The sequence below is a fragment of the Homo sapiens genome, chromosome X (genome assembly GCF_000001405.40).
Source record: "Homo sapiens chromosome X, GRCh38.p14 Primary Assembly".
Taxonomy (NCBI): Eukaryota; Metazoa; Chordata; class Mammalia; order Primates; family Hominidae; genus Homo; species Homo sapiens.
Genome location: NC_000023.11, coordinates 96,761,982 through 96,783,961, shown reverse-complemented (window position 1 = coordinate 96,783,961; position 21,980 = coordinate 96,761,982). Strand labels below are relative to the sequence as shown.

Genomic DNA, 21,980 nt, shown 5'->3' with positions numbered 1-21,980 from the left:
TATTATACCTCCCAGTGATCTGAACATGTTACAATCTGCTATAGATATGCCTGGGATATTCAGATGCAGATGGATGGTAACTAGGGCCAAATGACCGAACAGTGTGTGTTACAGGTTCTACATTCACACAATATCCTTAGCAGTTATTTTAAGATACCAGCAGATTTTTCTATACAGTCAGAAAACCCACAGAATAGAGGAGTGATTCCCAAAGGAGGAAGGGAGAGAACTTTTTCAAGTTACAAGTATCTGTCCTCAGAATCAAGACTGGGAGGAGGGTGAGTAGGCTTCTCAAACTGGTGACATCACTCATCTGCATGTTGAAAACTCACAGAGGCAATGCCTTGTGACCTTGCCCTTTGGGCCTGGTTACTCCTTGACCTGCTGAAATAAAGAGCTCTTCTACATATGTCTTCATTACATTTATCTCCATCCAACTAGCTTGGTCACTACTCCTAAAGTCCATCAGAAAATTGTTACCACCATCTCTAGTTTGCATCTGCCAGTGATGGCTTTAATATCTACAAGCCATCGATGTTACCACTATGAACGATCATGTTCACTCTCTTCCTTCTTGGTCTCTTAGTTTTTTCCTTTGTATCTTCTGTCCAAGAAGCCCTAGGCTTCTGAAGTCAGTTACCAGCCAGAACATGCCTTTTTCTCTTGTCGTTAAACCAATGACTTAACAATTAAAAATGTAATTCCAGAGTCTTCTTTAACTCTGGCTGGCCCTCATGTTCTCCCTTTTTTCTTCCCCTCCCTCTCCACATTTTAGTCACAAATCAGATATTCAGGGCTTTTCTAACCACCACAGTAGATCCCCACACCGTCCTTTATTTGTAAAGTGGTATCTGTTCTGGTTGTTTTACGAGTATCACAAGAGTTATCCTTGGCCTGCTAAGATTTCACTGATCGTACGCATTGAATGATTAATACTGAATAATCCCTTGTGGAGAAACAAAATACTTTAAGAGACGTTAACAGAATTGCAATTTTATCAAAGCAAATGCTCCATTTATAAAGGTATATTGAAAACTAGAAAATGTGGCTTCCCCCATCCCCTTACAAAACAAATACATTTATCAATGGTCTACTCTAACACTAACCCAAGTAGACTATATACCCCAGGGGTCTTTTTCTCCCTGCCCCCACCCCAGTACCTAGAAAAGTAGCCGGCACGTTCTGTAAGCACTCACTAAATATTTTAAATAAATAAATAAGAAATATTGGCCAGGAGTAGCAGCTCATGTCTGTAACCTCAGTACTTTGGGAGGCGGAGGAGGGCAGATCGCTTGAGCCCAGGAGTTGGAGACCAGCCTGGGCAACATGGCGAAACCCCATCTCTACAAAACACACAAAACAAGGCCGGGCGCGGTGGCTCACGCCTGTAATCCCAGCACTTTGGGAGGCCGAGGCGGGCGGATCACGAGGTCAGGAGATCAAGACCATCCTGGTTATAACACGGTGAAACCCCGTCTCTACTAAAAAAATACAAAAAATTAGCCGGGTGTGGTGGTGAGCACCTGTAGTCCCAGCTACTCGGGAGGCTGAGGCAGGAGAATGGCGTGAACCCCGGAGGCGGAGCTTGCAGTGAGCCGAGATCGCGCCACTGCACCCCATCTAGCCTGGGTGACAGAGCGAGACTCCGTCTCAAAACAAACAAACAAACAAACAAACAAACAAAAATACAAAACAATTGGCCGGGTGTGGTGGCATGCACCTGTAGTCCCAGCTACTCAGGAGGCTGAGATGAGAGGGCAGCTTGAGCCCAGGAGGTGGAGGTTGCAGTGACCAAGACTGTGCCATTGCACTCCAGCCTGAGTGACATAGTGAGACATTGTCTCTACAATAAAATAAAATAAAATAAAATATTTAGAATAAACAGTGAGGTTTATATAGTATTAAATACTAGTATAAAAGTCACAAAAGATTCACACCTTTGAAATGAGGGGAACTTGTGTACTTTTAAAGTCACTATATGATTTCTACACTTCTTTCAACAGTATTAATTTTATTTCTTGAAATTTAAGTCTATTTTATAAATATATGTGTTTTAACACATTTTAGTGTTAATTCAATCTCTCTATTACCACATAACAGTTATCTGGTGTACTATTTTGCTTAAGTTATTCTCCTTGCATAAGAGAGCTATAAATACAACCTTAAAGAATTAATTTAATATTAGTTGTTCCATACATAAGGAAATTATCTCATGTTTTACCTTCATCCATAAAATACTTATATATATATATAAACTTTTTCTTTTTATTTATGTAATATAATGTTTGTAGAAAAATAGTATGAATGTCGATCCAAGGAATAATTTTGGCAATTAGAAAATGTGACCGAAAAATTATTTTAGACCTAAGAGACAGTAATTAATGCTTATATAATGAAATTTCAGAAATGCTTTATCCTAATTACTCAAAGTAGACTAATTAGAAGGGCAGAAATCAAGATATGGATATAAAATGGATAGTGAATGTGGTGGAGGTAATAAGGATAACCCTCTATTAAAAGGGAAATGTCTGTGTTGGAAGGGTAATATTCCACGAGTATGGAGGAAACATGAAAGGCTGCAAAACTTGTGGTTAAACTTTACCATGATCTTATTGACAATACAAACTCTAACATCAGCTCAGAAATAGAGTATTGCCATGATATTGTTGCCTTCCTAAAGGCTGCTTGACCACTTGTCCACGATTTATAGTTTAGTCCCACAGATTTACAGCTTAGTATACCTGCTGCTTCTCATGACCCTTCAATTCAGACCACTAAAATTATTCTTGTTTTTACATAAGAGCAGTAAGAATTCCCAATTTTCACCATTTATCTTATTTTTATAAAGATCAGAGGCCCGGCACGGTGGCTCACTCCTGTAATCCCAGCACTTTGGGAGGCCAGAGGCAGGCAGATCGCCTGAGGTCGGCAGTTTGAGACCAGCTTGACCAACATGGCAAAACCCCGTCTCTACTAAAAATACAAAAATTAGTCGGGTGTGGTGGTGGGCGCCTATAATCCTAGCTACTCAGGACACTGAGGTAGGAGAATTGCTTGATCCCAGGAGGCGGAGGTTGCAGTGAGTGAGATCGAGCCACTGCACTCCAGCCTGGGGGTGCAAAGCGAGACTTCATCGAAAAAAAAAAAGATCAGGGAGAGCTAGTTTTAAAATCCTGACTCGACAGGGCATGGTGGCTCACGCCTGTAATCCCAGCACTTTGGGAGGCTGAGGCGGGCGGATCACGAGGTCAGGAGATCGAGACTATCCTGGCTAACATGGTGAAACCCCGTCTCTACTAAAAATACAAAAAAATTAGCCAGGCATGGTGGCACACACTTATAGTCCCAGTTACTTGGGAGGCTGAGGCAGGAGAATCGCTTGAACCCAGAAGGCAGAGGTTGCAGTGAGCTTAGATCGTGCCACTGCACTCCAGCCTGGGCAACAGAGCAAGACTCCATCTCAAAATTAAAAATAAAAAACAAAAAATAAAAAAATAAAACCCTGATTCAATGTCCCATGATAGCAAATACAAATGCATTTAAAAGTGTCACGCACACACACACACATTTTAAATAATGGGTATACTAAATTTACATATTGAAATGGACATTTTCTGTAAGATCAGTAGTTTTAAAGCTTTTTTCCCCAAGACTAAACATTTTTTCAAGCATATTAAAGTAGTGTTCCATTAGTGGGGATTGATTTATAAGTTAATCGAAAAGAACAATGAGACTATTTGAATAAACATTAACATCTAACACCAGGCATTTTATAGAAGAGCTACAGTCCTATTAAACAAAACATCCAGATGATTTACACATTTTGTTTTAGTTGTATCATACAAAGAAAATCCAGATTTTCACAAATAAGTATCTACAAATCTTAACAGTTAAAATAGCATCTCTTGCAGTCTTAGAATACCTTGCCATTAAAGATGCAAAGATAAACTACATTCTGGGGTGTACACAAAAATGAATTCATCTGGTCTTACAAGTTACTAATTTTGAGGTCTTTGAACATGGGTGCTATTTTTGTAAATTTTTAAAATAAATAGAGTTCTAAAACAGAATCGGAAAAAAACGTAGAACTTACAAAGCACCGCTACAAAAGCCTAAGGTGAACAGCTTTTTACAAGGAAGATAGGCTGAAAAGCATTGCTCTGGATTATTGAACACTATGGCAACATACATTTCTATATGTAAACACCATAATTTTTTTGTTTTTAGAAAACACATTTGTAGGTATTTATAGATTCATGCTTGATAACAGTTAAGGATAAGCCATCATGACTTTTTAAACAATGGAAGCCTGAAAATGAAGATGGCTAAAGGCATTCTAATTCAAATAGCAATCTGAAGTAAGACTTGTATCTGATAAGATAGAAAAGTAGATTTTAATGTTTAAGATATTCAGAAGGATTATGCAGCAATGAATATAAGTAAGGCCTAAATATAACAAATGCAGTGAATAAATGTATCACATCAGACATTTCATTACTTCAAATTCCACTGCACCTGTCTAATGTTTTCTTCTAGGGGGAAAAGTAGAACTGCTTCTAGATGAGACTTAATGAGTTAGTATGGGTATAGTTACCTCATAAAGTAAAAACCAACAGATGTTAATTGTTTGATTTCTTTATTTTATGTGTTATTTTCAGTAAACAATTGAATGGATTTTATAGAGTTTCTATCAATAAGGTAGGGTAGTTAATTGAATTTAAATAAAGAATCTGTGAGTCCATGCTGATATTTCTTTTAAAAAGTCAAAGAAGGTTAAAGAGGTAAGGGAAAGTTCTACTTTACAGAAGAATACCAGATGATAAATACAGAAGTAACAATGAATTAGAAAAATCACTATTTTGTAGCAATCCTAGTTATAATTCATTCAGGCAAGAATCTCATCAACAGATTTTAAAACCATGTGAAATGTTTCAGAGAAATAGGTTATTTACATGATCTCAAAGTATTATCCTACATATCACTTATTAATTACAAAGACAAATAGGGAAGATACTTCTCCAACCAAATGATCACATGTAACATCATCAATAATGGAGCAAACTGATATCCCTGTGCCTCCTGATGTGATGTACTGAGGAAGAACATCACCTGTGTAGCATCCTTGCCCACAATGTTTACCCTGAATCTAATCATGGGGAAACAATGAAACCAATCCACTGAGAAACATTTTGCAAAATAAGTGTCTTGGTCTCTTGAAAATGTTAATGAAATGAAATTTTTTTTTAAGTCTAGGACTTGTTCTACAGAAGATTAGGAAGATATGACAAATAAATGTAATGTGCAATCCTTGATTAGATTCTAGAAAACAAGAAGTTATAAAGGGCATTATTGGGATAGTTGGAGAAATTTGAATACGGGCTCTATATTAGGCAACAACATTATAATAGTGATGAATTTCCTGATTTAGTAATTAAACTATGTTTATATAGGAGAAAGTCCCTGTTCGTAAGAGAGACATGCTTAAGTATTTAGGAGTAAAGTGTTACAAATAGGCAACTAAGGCTCAGAAAAGGCAAAAAAAGAAAAAAAATTTTAAAAGAGAATGATAAAGCAAATATAACATAATGTTAACAATTTTAAAATATGGGTGAAAGGTCTATGGCTATTCATTGTAATATTCTTACAATGATTCTGTAGGCTTGACATTTCTAAAATAAGAAATTAGAGCAAATAAAATTTGGCAGTGAGTTACATATTCAAAAATAAAAGGACAAAATGGAAAATGATGAGTTCACGTCCTTTGTAGGGACATGGATAAAGCTGGAAACCATCATTCTCAGCAAACTATCGCAAGGACAAAAAACCAGACACCACATGTTCTCACTCATAGGTGGGAATTGAACAATGAGAACACATGGACACAGGAAGGGGAACATCACACACTGGGGACTGTTGTGAGGTGGGGGGAGGGGGGAGGGATAGCATTAGGAGATATACCTAATGCTAAATGACAAGTTAATGGGTGCAGCACACCAACATGGCACATGTATACATATGTAACAAACCTGCACACTGTGCACATGTACCCTAAAACTTAAAGTATAATAATAATAAAATTTAAAAAAGGACAAAATGGGTAACTACTGAAGAATTGATCAATTTCTTTAATAAAGGTATTACTGCCAAAATATCAATCTTGTTTTAACTCATTTCAAATAGTTAATTTGTTATATATAAAAAGCTTAGAAAAAATTCTGGGTGATTTTAATCAACTTCCTAAAATGTGATAACTCAGAAATAAAATTAAAATTATGCATTTGTGTACTCACACACAATCTGATGTGACATTTTATAACTGGACTACATTAAAAACAAAAGCATGAAATTGTTTTAGCAGCCATTTCAGCCCAGTCATCTGTTTAATACAAGTAAATTTTCCAAATGAAGATCTTGCTTCATTTGCAATGGTAATTCAATAGAACCCCCCCATCCCAAAATAATGAAAATAGAGGTTTACAAGATTTCCTGAAACTTGTTGATATGTTTCTAGTACTACATATCCACTCTACACCTCTAGATTTTTTCCAAATTATTCCCATCTCAAAAATAAGAAAAATGTATCATTATAATTACTAATCTGAGAAAACTGAGATTCTGTTGTTTTACATCTTGATAGCAAATTGTGTATAATTTTAATCCGATAAAGGGATAAATCATAAACATTTTTCATTAGGTTTTTAAAGCTATCCAGCAAAACACATAAAAATGGCCTATGACTACTGACATACTCAAACATGACTAAAGATAAAATTATGCCACAACTATTCAAGGCATAAAATGCTTCTAGATACTGAATTTCCAGTAACCAGACTATAATTAAATGAAGTGAGGGTGCCAGGATTTATTAAAATACTACTTTGCTATTAGAAGCTATCATCTACCAAAATTATCTGTATCAGTGTACCTTATAATAAAATAGGAATTCATTTCTGAAAGGGAAGTATAGCTACAAAAAGTGGTAGAAAGAATTCTAAAAGTTTAACTACACAGCTGACAAACGATTAAATATAAACATACCAAATTACTAACAATAGTTTATGTAAAGTTTATAGGCAATTGTTTTGATTCCTTCTCCTTAACTGCATTCTCACATTTTCTAAAATGTATTGAACTCTTCTTATAATGAGAATAGCAAACTTGAAAAATGATTTGCTTTAAATTGCATAGTTGGTTTACATCATATCTTTTAAGGAAATATGGGCTTTTGTATTGAAATATTTAGTAAACTTAGGAGGAAAAAAAGTCAAATTCTTTACTACCACAAATCTCAAAGTACTACTTTACCATTTCTGAGTTCATGTGATCTTAGTTTAGAAACAGTCATTAAACCCCAAATTTATATACTATATATAATAATATTTAATTTAATAATATTTATACAGTATATATAATATACCTGGAGAAAAGAGTTCAAATGAAATAAGAAAAGCAGCCAGGCATGGTGACTCACACCTGTAATCCCAGCACGTTGGGAGGCCAAGGCAGGCGGATCACTTGAGGTCAGGAGTTCGAGACCAGCCTGGCCGATATGGTGAAACCCCGTCTCTACTAAAAATACAAAAATTAGCCAGGTGTGGTGGCGCACACCTGTAGTCCCAGCTACTCAGGAGGCTGACACAAGAGAATCACTTGAACCCAGGAGGCAGAGGGTGCAGTGAGCAGGGATTGCGCCACTGCACTCCAGCCTGGGTGACAGAGTGAGACTCTGTCTCAAAAACACAGAAAGAAAAGAAAAGAAAAGAAGAAAAGGATACCATGGTTATGCAGCTTAAAATGCAAATATTTTCATATTTAGATGGAAGATTAGGGATAATCTTCACAGTTGCTTGTGGCTTTTCATAAAAAGGGTAACTTTACATGTAGTCTGTAGCCTAGGGGCTACCTTAGAAGACGTCAGCTTTTACAAAGTTTATAACTATAACTGGCTTCTAAACTAACACTGAGTAATAAAGGAACAAATGCATTGATGTATGTGTCACTAAAAGGTGGCAGTAGTTGTGATCAACACATTCTTCAAAAATATATATATTAGGAATTACCATGAGAATCACTTCCTTAACTGATTACTATAATGATTTAAATGTGTACTGTGTTTTACAGTTTACAAAGTATTCAGTAACTCTATTAGGATGACAGAGTAAGTACAGATAAAGAGACTTAGGCTCCAGAAAGGTTGAGTGTGTTTTACCCCCAATCACTTAGCCATTAAGAGAGAGAGCCATGACCTAAACCCCCAGGTCTTCAAAGCCCAAATATTATGATTTTCACTGTGTTTTAACGTACGCTCTAAGCATCCATTTCATGTGGTGGTTTTCCTACGGGTATGATTAACTTCGCACACCAAGCTATAAGCGAAAACAACTGGAGAAAAACTCCAGGTGAACACTCAAGATGTTTCTAGTTGGTATGATGAAGAGCTATCTTTGGAGTTTCCTAGATAATGCGAAGAGAACGGGGAGAAAAAACTCTCAATTTTAGTCACATCTGTATAACAAAAAAATAACAATCACCATCAATAGAAGAGGCACCACCAAAACTGAGGAAGTATACACACACACACACACACACACACACACACACACACACAAGCACACGTTGAGTAAAATAAGAATGAACATTTAGATTGGGTGTATTATCAAGTAGCATTTCCACTTCTGAGGCCCCAAACTGTAGACACTCTAAAAGCAATTAAAAAGAAGGCAGTATTATATGGAAAAATTAAAGGAAGTGGGAGAAGCAGCAGCTGAGGGACCACTTAAACCTATGAGTACTCTAAGAGAGATTGCATGGGTGATGATGAACAACGGTCCTCAGCAGAAATAGAAAACTTACCAAGAGGCAAGGGACCTAAATTACAATAGAAGAAATTTAGTTTTATTCTTGAAAGAAAAAAAAAGATTTTAAGATGCTAGACTGCATTTCCAATGGAAGAGGACTTCTGTTTTGAGAAGCATTATAAAATAACTAGCAGCTTTCTGATTTTAGTTTATACACAGTTCAGTGTCAGAGGAATTGTGAATATGTAGAGATTGAACAAAACGATGTTTAATTATTTTATTGCTGTTATAGCCTAGTGTATTTAAAAATGTCTAAAGTGTATTAAGACATGGTCCTTGCCCTCTGAGAGCACATAAGCATTTTAATTACACAGTATTATTTAAACAAAACTAATGTTTAATTGAAATTAATTATAAAAGGCAAGCGTGCATAAGAAAGGTGAACACACAGATAGAAAAAAAACTCGAAGAGGCACAATGGTTAATCTATTTCAGACACAGGAAAAATGGCTTAGAATTATAGGCCATTGCTAAAAATGGGATTCTTTCTAATATTTATGTATCTTTTTCCTCACATTTAAATTGCTGAGTATATGGTTTATCTGCATTGATGTTACCTGTTCGTGAACATCTGCTATGAAAGCCACAAAGACCATATCGGCAGAGTCATTTTTGGCCCATTGAGCAACACGTGCACAGAGGTCTTTAATTCTCTGTAATGTAGCAGCTTTTCCATGGGCAAGGTTCTCTCTGTGTTGTAGGTATGACTGTAGGTATTCTCCAGTTGGCAGAAAATAAGAATTGCCTACTAGCACATGGTGAAAGACTAAATATTAACAGTGTTAGAGAGGATGAACACCTGTGGTGTCAATTATTATCCACAACTGCCTGAAATCCACCAAATCTTACTTAGTTATTGGTTAAGAGGCCAAGCTCTGAAGTCAGCCTGACTGGATTCAAATCCCAGCTCTCCCACTTACTTACTATGTAACCCCAAACAATGTACCTACTTTTCTAAGCCACACTTTCCTAATCTATAAAATGGGGGTGATAATTCTTATGAGGATTAAATTAGGTTTTACATGAAGCTTGCCTAGCACGGTTCTTGGCACTTAGTGTTCTCTAAAAGTTCACTATTATTCAGTGTTAAATACAACAAAATGACTGTTACATACTGTATTAGTTTGCTAGGGCTGCCATAATAAAATACCACAGACTGGAACACAAACAACAGAAATTTGTTGTTTTGTTTATTTTTGTAAATTTGTTGTCCCTTTATTTTTTTGTTTTGTTTTGTGTTTTGTTTGTTTGTTTTTTGAGACAGAGTCTTACTCTGTTGCCCAGGTTGGAGTGCAGAGGCGCGATCTCAGCTCACTGCAACCTCTGCCTTGGTTCCAGTGATTCTCGTGCCCCAGCCTGCTGAGTAGCTGGAACTATAGGCATGTGCCACCACACCCAGCTAATTTTGATATTATTAGTAGAGATGGGGTTTTGCCACGCTGCCCAGGCTGGTCTCAAACTCCTGACCTCAAGTGATCCGCCTGCCTCGGCCTCCCAAAGTGTTGGTGATTACAGGCATGAGCCACATCACCCGGCCCCTCTCCCCATTCTTGACATTAAAAGTCCAAGACCAAAGTGTCAGTAAGTTTGGTTTCTTCTGAGGCCTCCCTCCTTGGCTTACAGATGGTCATCTTTTCTCTCTGTCTTCAAATGGCCTTTCCTCTGTGTCTGCACACAACCCTGGCACCTCTCTGTGTGTCCAAATGTCCTCTTACCAGGACACCAGTCAGACTGGATTAGGGCTCACACTAAAGGCATCTTTTTTTTTTTAACTTAACACTTTAAAAGCCCTATCTCTAAACACAGTCACATTCTGATATGTTAGGGTTTCAACATACAAATTTGGGGAGGGCGGGAGGGGGGGGGAAACAATTCAGCCGGTAACACATAGCTTTTCTCATTCCAAGCAAAACCACTCCACACAATAAGAAAATCTGAAATAATTTTGGGGAAGAGCCTCAGTTCTCTAGTAATACTTCTCTGCTTTCTAACACAGAGGCAACCTATTTAAGCTCATTTAACTTTGGGAGGATAGACAGAAAGATGGATAAATAGATATAGAGAGACATATATAAACACATAGAATACATGTTATATCTTGGATACAGACACCAATCACACTTCGTAGAACAGCTCTTTGAGTGGATAAGCACTCTGCCAAAAAAGCATCATAATCATCAATAAAAATAAATGATTTACCAGAAATATACAAAGCAGTTATGTTCTCCAAGCACAAGAGTTACATTGCACAAGCAGTTATTTTCTCCTTAGATCACAAATTCATTAAAGAAAAGAACCATGACAGGTTACTAAAAATTTACAAACAGATCAGCATAAAAAATGAACCCAAATGCTTTTAATATCTTTGATGCTGTTAAAGTTCATTTTTTTCTATATTGTTTTAATAGGTAATTATGGCTGCAACTATAAAAGCACATGCAATTAATGTAATAATCATGGTATCCGAATTATGGTGACCACAGTACAAAAAATTACTCTAAATGTCACTGGTCACATCACCATTATTTAGCAATGCAGACCCAGAAAGCATTTCATACAAGCATATAAACTAGATATTAATACAAGTTATGAATATCATGTATCATTTTTAAATGTTATGAATATCAGTGGACCACTGACAGGAAATACCTTGGTCAGTACAAACTACTCAAAAGACTGTCCATATAGCTTTCAGCCAAAAAAATCTCCATGGGATAAGGCCAGACTCTAACTAGCCTCCAAGAATTTGGAGATGGAGGCAATGTCTTCTGAAAAACTGATGCACGAACCTACAGAAATACATATAACACGTAGCTTAAGTGAGGAAATACATGAAGGGCTTTAAACACTCTGAAACACTTCATAAATCTAAGGCGGCCTTTTTCTTTTTAAGATTATCTTATTCTACTTATTCAAAGGAACTAATGTTTGTTCAACCAAACAGTCCTTTCCGAACAGATAAACAGACAGAAGAAACTTGATTAACTAAAATGAAAAATGGAATCAAATATATGAGAAAAGGGCCCAAAATTTTATATACAGTAGCTAAGCTAACTTTTTTTTTTTGAGACAGGGTCTCAACTGTGTCACCCAGGCTTGAGGGCAGTGGCGCCATCTCGGCTCACTGCAGCCTTGACTTCCAGGCTCAAGAGATTCTCCTACCTCAACCTCCCTAGGAGATTGGACTACAGGAGTGTGCCACCACACCCAGCTAATTGTTTTATTTTTTTGTAGAGACAGGGTCTTGCCATGTTGCCCAGGCTGATCTTGAACTCCTGGGCTCAAGTGATCCTCCCATCTCACCCTCCTAAAGTGCTGGGATTACAGGCATGAGCCAACTACATCTAGCCTAAGGTAACTTCTAAACATTGATTGTAATCTGATTGTTTCCTCTTTTTCCCCTGCCGACAAGGCTATCTGGATAGAGGAAGCATTGCCTCATAAAAAAAATCCCTCTGTTATGCCACTTTAAGTTTTATAATGGCAACAGCAAATTTTATACAGAGCTTTTAAAGGATATATATTGTAGAGACTATATTACTTAACAACAAAAACACACAAAAAAAGACATCATATAATTACCTCATTCTACATAGATGATCAAAATTTTTTCCATTGTTAGTAAAATAAACCAATCCAGTACAAAAAATAATGGCTATACTAGTCTTAAATGTCTTATATCAAGCATCAGATTTTAAATTGATTCTTTTACCTGATTATACACACAGAAAAATATCCTCAATAGAAATATCCAACATGATCACAATCAAAATGCACAGCTAATGAATTTGTGATGCAAAATCATACATGAAATATACATCTTTTCATTTCTAATATCAGGATAGATTATAAAACATAATGACCCCTATTCATAAATATTAATATAATCAATTTTCAAAATACATGTCTAAACATAATACTAACATTCATGCTGTCTTTTAGACATTTCCAAATGCCCAAGGTAAGATGACTTGTTAATATTTCATAATCTATATTTCAGCATTCATTGAACAATGAATTTAATCTGGCATGATGAAATAATGCAATTTATGACAATGCACGGGAAGGGAAGGAACTGATACGATAGTGTTCCAAAAATGAAGGGAAATTCAAATAACAAAACCTTTCAAAACATATACAGATACCCCTATCCAAAATAAGTATAATGTACAAGTTAGCTTGCAGTGTTAAAACATTAGGAAATGGGAAAGTAGCTACTCGTTGCATATAATGAATGTGAAATTAGAAAAGACTGAAATTGGTACTTTAATAGTGTTTGTGCTATTTTTAAAAGATCACTTATAATATACCATCATTAAATAGTTTCAGGTCTTATTTTCATCTGATCACCAAATGAGTTTTTCTATTTTATATATGCTAGTTTAAAATAATGGCATTATTTTTATTCTGACTGAATTTAGATTTTTAACAAAATTATCACCACCATAAAACTAAATATTTTACAGTAGCAACTATCCTACAATTTCTAAACCCATTTAAAAAAATCAAATTGGAATACAAGAACACAATGTTTTATCATCACGAAGCAGCTACTTCAACCTCCAATAATCAATGTTTTGTCTCCCCCTTCTGGACTACACAATTATAAAAAGGAGAAAAAAGGAAAAATAAGATTTAATCTTTTTTCACAGAACATATTCAAATAATTGGCCTGACACAAGTGTAATATTACGTGAGGTAATTATCAAATACTATTCTATAAATAAACTAATAAAACTTCAATTTATTAATGTAGTAGCAGCTTAACAGCCTACAAAGCATGCTGCCACACTTGGTGGTATTTTAGGTATATTACTATCAGGCAGCTTATAGTAAGTAATACATAGATAACACTAAATTTATTATTTTAAGCCTGATCATATGTTTATCCTTTTTTTTTTTTTTTGAGACACAGTCTCGCTCTGTCACCCAGGCTGGGGTGCAGTGGCACCATCTCGGCTCACTGCAACCTCTGCCTCCCGGGTTCAAGCAATTCTCCTGCCTCAGCCTCCCTAGTAGCTGGGATTACAGGGGCCTGCCACCAGGCCCAGCTAATTTTTGTAGTTTTAGTAGAAATGGTGTTTTACCATGTTGGCCAGGCTGGTCTTGAACTCCTGACCTCAAGTGATCCACCCACCTCAGCCTCCCAAAGTGCTGGGGTTACAAGCGTGAGCCACGGCGCCCAGCCATGTTTATACTTTTAACAGAAACTTACTCTCAGTATTACCTTCATTGTCAGCCTGGAAGAGGGCCGGCTGGCGGGTGGGAGTTCATTTGGCTCTATTTTGAGAAAACTCTTGCAACAGTCATTCAGTTAGTGCTCATGATTCCCATGCTCCATTAGGGCAAAGAAGCATGCATTTGTATCTGACCTTCACTATTATGGGCTTGTTTTTTTGACTGAGATTATTAGGAACATTGCAAAAGGTACAAATATGACCTCTTAATTTTATGTCAGATTGTTTATCTGGTAAATGATACTACAAGCCACCAAAATGATTCACTCTTCTCTGTCTTGGTCCACTGAATCATCTACAAGTATACTTGGCCTTCAATACCTAGTAAAGATATTCAGGCTTCAGCTTTTAAGCAGGTAAATGTTATTAGAATGATCAGCAACATAGTCTCAGCAGCAATATACAGAGAGTACATTTAAAATGGTAAAAGCAGTAGTTTGAAACAGAGAACCAAATTATAAAATTATACTGCTAATGCTGTAAGAGCTAAATAAATGTTCTTGCATGGTGATACCTTTACTCCTGCTATTGTGATTCTAGTAATTTCTCCCTGATTAACATATCTAACTGAACTCAATCTTCTTTTACTCCAAACTCGGTCTCGTCCCTGACTACTCTATGAATGCTCAAGTCATTTTGGTCACCCATGCTTGAAATTTCAGTCATTATTGATTCATACATCTCTTCTGCCCTTTTAAAATCATTTGCTGAGGCTGGGATATTTTACTTCCACAGTCTCTGTCTCTCATCTATATCCTCCATTTAGTTCCTACTAACCACACTCCAGTTCAGCACCCTTATTACTTAAACTACAGCAACAACCCCCAACTTGATCTCCTTGCCCTTATGTCTAACCTCTCCAATTTCCACTGCTACCTTTCTCTTCCCCAAATACACCTTGGATTTTGTCGTTCCACGGCTCAAACCCTTCCAGGGCTCCTGGCTGGCTATTAAAGTGACAATTCTTCAAAATATCTCTCCTAAAATGACCTGAACTTACCTTTCCAAATTAACAACCCACTAACTATGCTTAACATATGTTTTTAGTCACCCTAACTCTTGGGATTAAACACCCCCATACTTTCCCTTGTTCACCCCACTCCATGCACAGTGACCTCTGCTATTCCTTCAGATACTCCAAGCACACTCCTGCCTCAAGGCCTTCGCACTTGATGTTCTCTCTTCCCTAGATATTTGCATGGCTCTTCCCATTTTCATTCAGGTCTCCTTTCAAATGTCATTTGCCCAAAGAGCTCGCCTATCTAAAATACCACACCCTGATCACTCTCTGCTTTCTCTAATAGCGCTTACCTGTCATTATATTTTATATGTGTCATATTGTCTGTTTCCCCATCTTGAATGTAAGTTCCATGAAGACATTATCTGTATGGTTCATCATTCCAGCACCTGGAATAATGCCTGGCACTAATAAGTACCCAGTAACTTTGTGTTCAAGAAAGGAATGAAACTGAGTCTAGAGAGGTTTACAAGCTCACAGGGAATGAATGAGTAGTGAATCAGGATTCAAACTCAGACTCTTCTGATGACGAGACAAATGCTTTCCCAAAAAGCCGTTGCTGCTGCCAACTTATTAAATTACCTCTTATTTAAAATTATAAGGTCTGGTCATTACAATGTTTGCTATTTTCCAACTATCATATGTAATCATATCAATTCTTACTTTTTGTCACAGAAGAATGCTTATTTTTCTACCTGTGGATAAATTATTCCTGGCTTGTAGTGAAATAAAATCAATCATTTTAGCTGTTTTCTAAATCTGTTTCATGCATTGTTACTAAATAATAAAAACAATTTATTTTGCTTCACAAAATTCTGCAACAGTTATTTAGAACGAGAAGCCATTGAAAAAAGTAATTCAGTTTTATCTCTTCCCTACTCCAAATTCTGTTTGCTATTTCTAGAGATCTACCAGAAAGATATTTTATCATTTCCCATCACAGACAGTATCTATACCAAATCCTCAACTATTTTATTAAATCTTTAAAATAATCTTGTCAATATTAACTTGAGATCATATATGATTTTACTTTTTTCCTCAAAGCCCAGCAATAATCCACACCACATAACAAATAGCTTCCAATAAACAGGCAAAACATTCTCCTTCCAGCATCCAGCTGAATCCTTCCCACCATTCTTGACCCAGAATAAATCCCATTTTTCCCTTTAAATCTTCAAATAGCAAACATCTTGAACACTGAACAACAACAAAAAAGGCAGCTCAGTCTTATCTCATTTTACCATGTAGTCTTTATGTTTTATGTCTTTCATATCAAGCATTTTGTAGAATTCAAGACATTTAACAAAAATGTAATTCAGACCTACTATTTGCAAGATTCTTTACATGTTAAATATATTAAACATAAACAATATACTTCAAAAATATCACAAATTTAGTATTATTCTCTTCATTTTATCAATGAAAAGACTGAGATTCAGAGAAGTAAATTATCCAAGGTCACACAGCTAGTATGTGACCTTGGATAGCAGAGACAGAATCTGAAACCAGGTCCATTTGCCTCTAAACCCATGATTGCTACTAAAATTTGCCTTCCTTCATAGAGTCTGTATCGTGGATATACAAAGACTCATAGTATGTGAGACAGTATTATTTAAGGATATAAATTACTACAGGCATAAAGTAAAATAGGAGTATTCTGAAAGCCCTTAAGGAATATATAAAGAAATAGGAACTATAAGATAAAGTTAAGAGTGACTCCCTAAGAGTTAAAAATAAAGTGCTATAGGAGTTCAGATATATTACTGTAGGTGGAAATGGGAGAGCGGATCAAGATCAAGACAGGCTTCATGGAAGAGCTGTGGAGGATGGCTAGAATGTTGACAAAGGAAAGAAAACATTCTATACAAAAAAGATCCCTTGAGCAAAGTCAGAAGCAATACTGCCTGAGGCTAAGGGGGTGGTTTTGTTCAGGTAACAGGCAGTTTCCTGGCTTGACTTTTAAAGTACAATTTATATAGGATAGTGAAAAGTAAAGACTGATGGTAGCTCAAGATCAGGAGGGCCTCAAATGCCTCCATTTCTGCTTCTAATCAACATTGGTTAGACAAACGCAAAACAGGCCCATGCCGACCTCCTAGTTCATTACATATTCCATCTGTTGGATTTCAGTCTAGCTTTCGTATCACTCATTTTTGGACCAATGTACGTAATCTCTGGGCAAATGCAATACTTAAAGTGATTATTCTAGAATTTCTTTTTGAAACACCTCTATAAATTTCCTACCTGCCCTTTTTATCAATGAATAAACCTCTCCATCTGTTGAAGATTGAGACCATGATGCAAAAGCCCTTTTGTACCTGGTTTTCACCAGTGATCTTACATATTGTTTTCTTATTCCCTTTAGTTGCAGAAAAAAAAACAAACAAAAAAATTTCTTCCTTAAGACAACCATCCCACCTAAACTCTAGAACAAACCCCTAATCATTTCCTCTAGAAGCTAATTCCTATAGTTTCTTCCCTTTATAGCAGGATTTGCAAACTCAAATGTGAGGAGGTCACAGATAAGACAATGGGTATGAAATAGTTTACATTGTGGATCAAAACACGTACCTCATTATACTGTTTTTCAAAACACTCTGGGAAATATATATATATGTGTATATATATATATATACACTACATATAGCCTGCTGGCCTGCCATTTTACCATATTGCATCTTCAGGTCCTATCTTTATTCTGTTTACCTGTCTGTCTTCCCCGTTAGACCTAGTTTCTTGAACACAGAAGCTGTGTACATTGTGGAAAAAGAACATATAAATGACTTATTATAATAAAATATGTTAAATATAACAATAGAGCTATAAACATGGTGCTATGGGAAGGAAGGAGTTACCTAGGACAGCTTCTTCTAAGACTGACAGGAAGCTTAATCTTGATGGATATTTAGGAGCTTGGCGGACACACTAAAGAAGAAAACGGCATTCCAGCTCAAAAAAATAGAACATGCTTGATTTAAAGGTATTAAAGAATAAGGCATGAAGGAATTGCCAAGTGTTCCTATGCAGATAGAAGACAGGTACCAGTAAGAACGAAGCTGGAGATGAAACTAGAGAAGCAGGCAGGGATGAGATCACAAAGGACAACAGGGAGCCATTTGAATGTTTTGAGGAGGGAAATATAGTAGTCTCTCTTTATCCACAGGAGGTACGCCCCAAGACACCCAGTGGATGCCTAAAACTGTGGATAGTTTTGAAACTCTAAATATAGTATGCTTTTTCCTATGCATATAAACCTATAACACTTAATTTATAAATTAGGCACAGTAAGAAATTAACAATAGCTAATAAAATAGAAAAATTATAACAATATACTATAATAGAATTATGTGGACCGGACGTGGTGGCTCACGCCTGTAATCTCAGCACTTTAAGAGGCCAGGGCAGGCGGATCGCTTGAGCTCAGGACTTTGAGACCAGCCTGGGCAACATGGCAAAACCCCATCTCTACAAAAAAATACAAAAATTAGCTGGGCATGGTGGTGCACACCTGTAGTCCCAGCTATTCTGGAGGCTAAGGTGGGAGGATGGCTTGAGCCCGGGAGATCAAGGATGCAGTGAGCCAAGATCATGCCACTGCACTCCAGCCTGGGCAACAGAGTGAGACCCTTTCTCAAAAAAAAAAAAAAAAAAAAAACATGTGAATATGGTCTCTCTCTCTCAAAATGTATTATTGTGCTGCACCTCAGGTAACTGAAACAGAAAATGAAACCACAGATAAGAGGGTACTGCTGGAGCAAGATAACTGGTAACAGTGTAGAATATGCATGGGTGGGTGAGAGACTGAAGACAAGGAGACTGCTTGGTAGGCTACAGCAATCACAGGGGTGTTAAATGATGACAGTCTGAACTAAGGAAGTAACAGTGTGGGTAATTAGGGGAGAGAGTTGGTACCAAGACTAGAAATACAGGCTGCTTCCAGCCCTTATTAAAATAAGCTAAAAATCTCTTATCTCCCCAAACTCGTTATTTAACCCCACCTAGCCTCAAAGTGAGGACTTTAATACAAGTCCTCACTGAATCACTCAAAAATCTCCTAGGTAGCTTCCCGAATAAGTCTATCAGAATCCAGTACTTCTTAAAGTGTGAAGTATACTTCTCAGACTACCTTAGCAGAATCTCTGGAGGTGCTAGATAAAAATGCAAATTTCTTGGCCATATCCCAGGCCACCTGAATCACAATCTTCCTGGAGCAGGACAAAATTTGCATTTTCATGTACTTTCCAGTTTGAGAACCATTAGCCTAATCCAGCCTATCCACCTATCGAATTTATTTTTCTTAAACACTGCTTCCATCATGTTACCTCCTTGCTCAAACTAATTTATAATTTGCCGCCTGGACTTCAAGACCATCCTTCAACTTGATTTTTTACTCTTTCCAATATACATTCTTTGTTTCAACAAAGTCAACCTCATCTCTCACTTCCTTCTTCTCTGCCTCCACACACATGGTTTGGTTCTCTTCAGGCCTTTGCATTTAATATTACTTCCAGAATCTGAGAGCTTCTCCACAGTCTCTCCTCCCTAGCCAAACACCAGCCATCATAACTAATTATTCCCTGAAAGCCCAATTTAAGTGCAGAAATTTACACAGATTTTTCTCTAATTACTCCAACCTTACTTCTCTCTCCTACTTATGAATTCCTATTACATTTATAGTCAGCATGCATAATTTAAGGTTTGATTATTTCAACACATATCAACTAGGTCCTATCTCATTCTTATTTTCCAGTCATCAGTGCACCTAGAATAATTCTTGGCATATAATAAGCACTAAATAAATATTCGATTTTTAAAATTATCCTGAAAGGATGATGGCTTTTCCCCCTAGATGTCTCGTGAATTTAAAAAAAAAAAAAAGAAGAGTAAGATAATGAAAAGAAGGAATCAATTTTTAAAAGCAAAATGAACAAATAAATCCACTATTCTAGATACCTCAGTACTCGGTGATGTTAAAGATAATGTTTCCTACCACCCTGTTCTCTAGGGAGTGCTTAGTCATGAAGATAAGGTAATTACAAACAGCTCTCAATCACAGTACGGGCCACTTTGGGCGTGTTATATAATAGTGTATCATGTAATTATAGCACTGAAATATAGTGCCTTGAATATAAAACCTTTAAATGACAGCCATGGAAAGAACCTTAAAAGATAATTTCAGCTAATCATTTCAATTTATCCATTTAATAATTGAGCCCCAGAGAAATTACATGACTTGCCCAAAGTAGCAAAAGCTGATTAGTAGCATACAACAAAGACAAGCACCCAGGCCTCCCGACTGCATGGAAAGGGTTGTTTTCATTACTCTATGTGCTCAATCATACTGAAATCAAAGTGACATATTTTAATAAGAATTCCTGTTAGCATAAACCAACATTTTAGGATTCTCCTCCTGATAAATTGAGGTAAAACATACAATTTCATCAGAATCATAAAGACTGACACAGGCATAATTCCAAAAACAAAAAAAAAGGTGAAAACTTCTAAGATAAAATATACAAGCATATTCTAGTTCTAAAACATCTCCCAAAAACCACAGAAAAAATACTTGTCCAGGCTAAATTCTAATCACCTGATCATAATATTCATCTCATTGCTTTGGTAAAATATATACCAAAAGAACCAAACATATAAAATACTACAAGCAAAAATCACAATTTACAAAACCACAAATTCATATCTAAGGGTAAAACACATCTTTTGTACTCACCGTAACTTTACTTCCAACTATCTGCATGCAGTGGTCAACGAAGAGTGGTTATGGTGTAAAAAAAAAACAAACAGCAACAATATTAGTAGTCAGAAGCTTTTCACAGAGGTTAAGTGTTTAGTAAATTAGTAAATAGCTAACCCTATTTATATTTTTGATACTTTAGATATACAGGCTAAAATAGATACATCAATATTAATTTCTACTATGTTTCAAAAATGTGTAAAGTCTACAGAATAAGGATTCTCAAATAAGTGATAATTACTATTTGAGGATTTTTTTAATGTACTATAATGGGCTTCTCATATAGTATAATCTAAATATCAAGTTATGCAATGTTAAGTGTAATCAGGCATCAGATTTTTTTACCAGCTCATAGTCCCTGAAAAAATTATCAATAGAAATTTTGTTTTTTCCAATATTGCCTTTTCTTTTCTTTCCTTCTTATGGCAGGTATACTATCAAGGTTGAAATAGTACACCTTCTTATGGCAGGTATACTATTAAGGTATTTTAGTATATAAATGTTACATTTAAAGTCATGCATTAAGTTCAGAAGTAAACTTTAGGTTGAAAACAAATATTTTTTATTGTTATAAATTTAAGGTGTACGATACTGTTTTATATTATACTTGAAAATTATAAAAAAGATAGATTACTTATTATTCTAGTTTTCTAGGTAATCCTAGCATTTCTATTATAAGATCAGAATTTTCTACATAATGTGAAGACAAAGAAGCATTTTACATCTAAACATGCACATGTTCAGAAGGAGGAAATAGTTCAAAAATTGCAGCTCCAACTGAGCTTTCCTAATGGATAAGTGATAAAAGAATTTCTGAGAGGCAGAATTGTGTTTAAGAAAGCAGGAAGTAAACTCATAGTCCTAAACATAATTTTATCCAAAAATCCAAATATAAATCAAATCACTGTTATCAGATTCCCACACTTGAATATCAAGCAGTGTCCAAAAAACAGCTAAGCCACAATACAAAACCATTAATCCGATAGCAGTTATTATCAAAATGTGTTCTATTTTTCAGCTAGTGCTTTAAAAATAAAAATCAAATTTAACTGAAACCCCAGTAAGAATCCTATGTTGAAAAGGATATCATAAAATACAAAAAGATAATGACAGTT

General features: G+C 36.0%; 1 protein-coding gene across 2 annotated transcripts in view, besides 2 other annotated features; it reads right to left on the bottom strand.

Annotated features, from left to right (window-relative positions):
- The window catches only part of DIAPH2 (diaphanous related formin 2), a 920,156-nt gene that overhangs the window by 821,036 nt on the left and 77,140 nt on the right, over window positions 1-21,980 (bottom strand). The gene's annotated exons all lie outside the window — the stretch shown is intronic.
- Window positions 18,754-18,803: an enhancer, noted in NCBI's record as "active region_29796". NCBI's record gives its function as "activates an Ori minimal core promoter by ATAC-STARR-seq in GM12878 lymphoblastoid cells {active_cell/tissue: GM12878}" and the evidence as "EXISTENCE:reporter gene assay evidence [ECO:0000049][PMID:35858748]".
- Window positions 18,914-18,963: a silencer, noted in NCBI's record as "silent region_20912". NCBI's record gives its function as "represses an Ori minimal core promoter by ATAC-STARR-seq in GM12878 lymphoblastoid cells {active_cell/tissue: GM12878}" and the evidence as "EXISTENCE:reporter gene assay evidence [ECO:0000049][PMID:35858748]".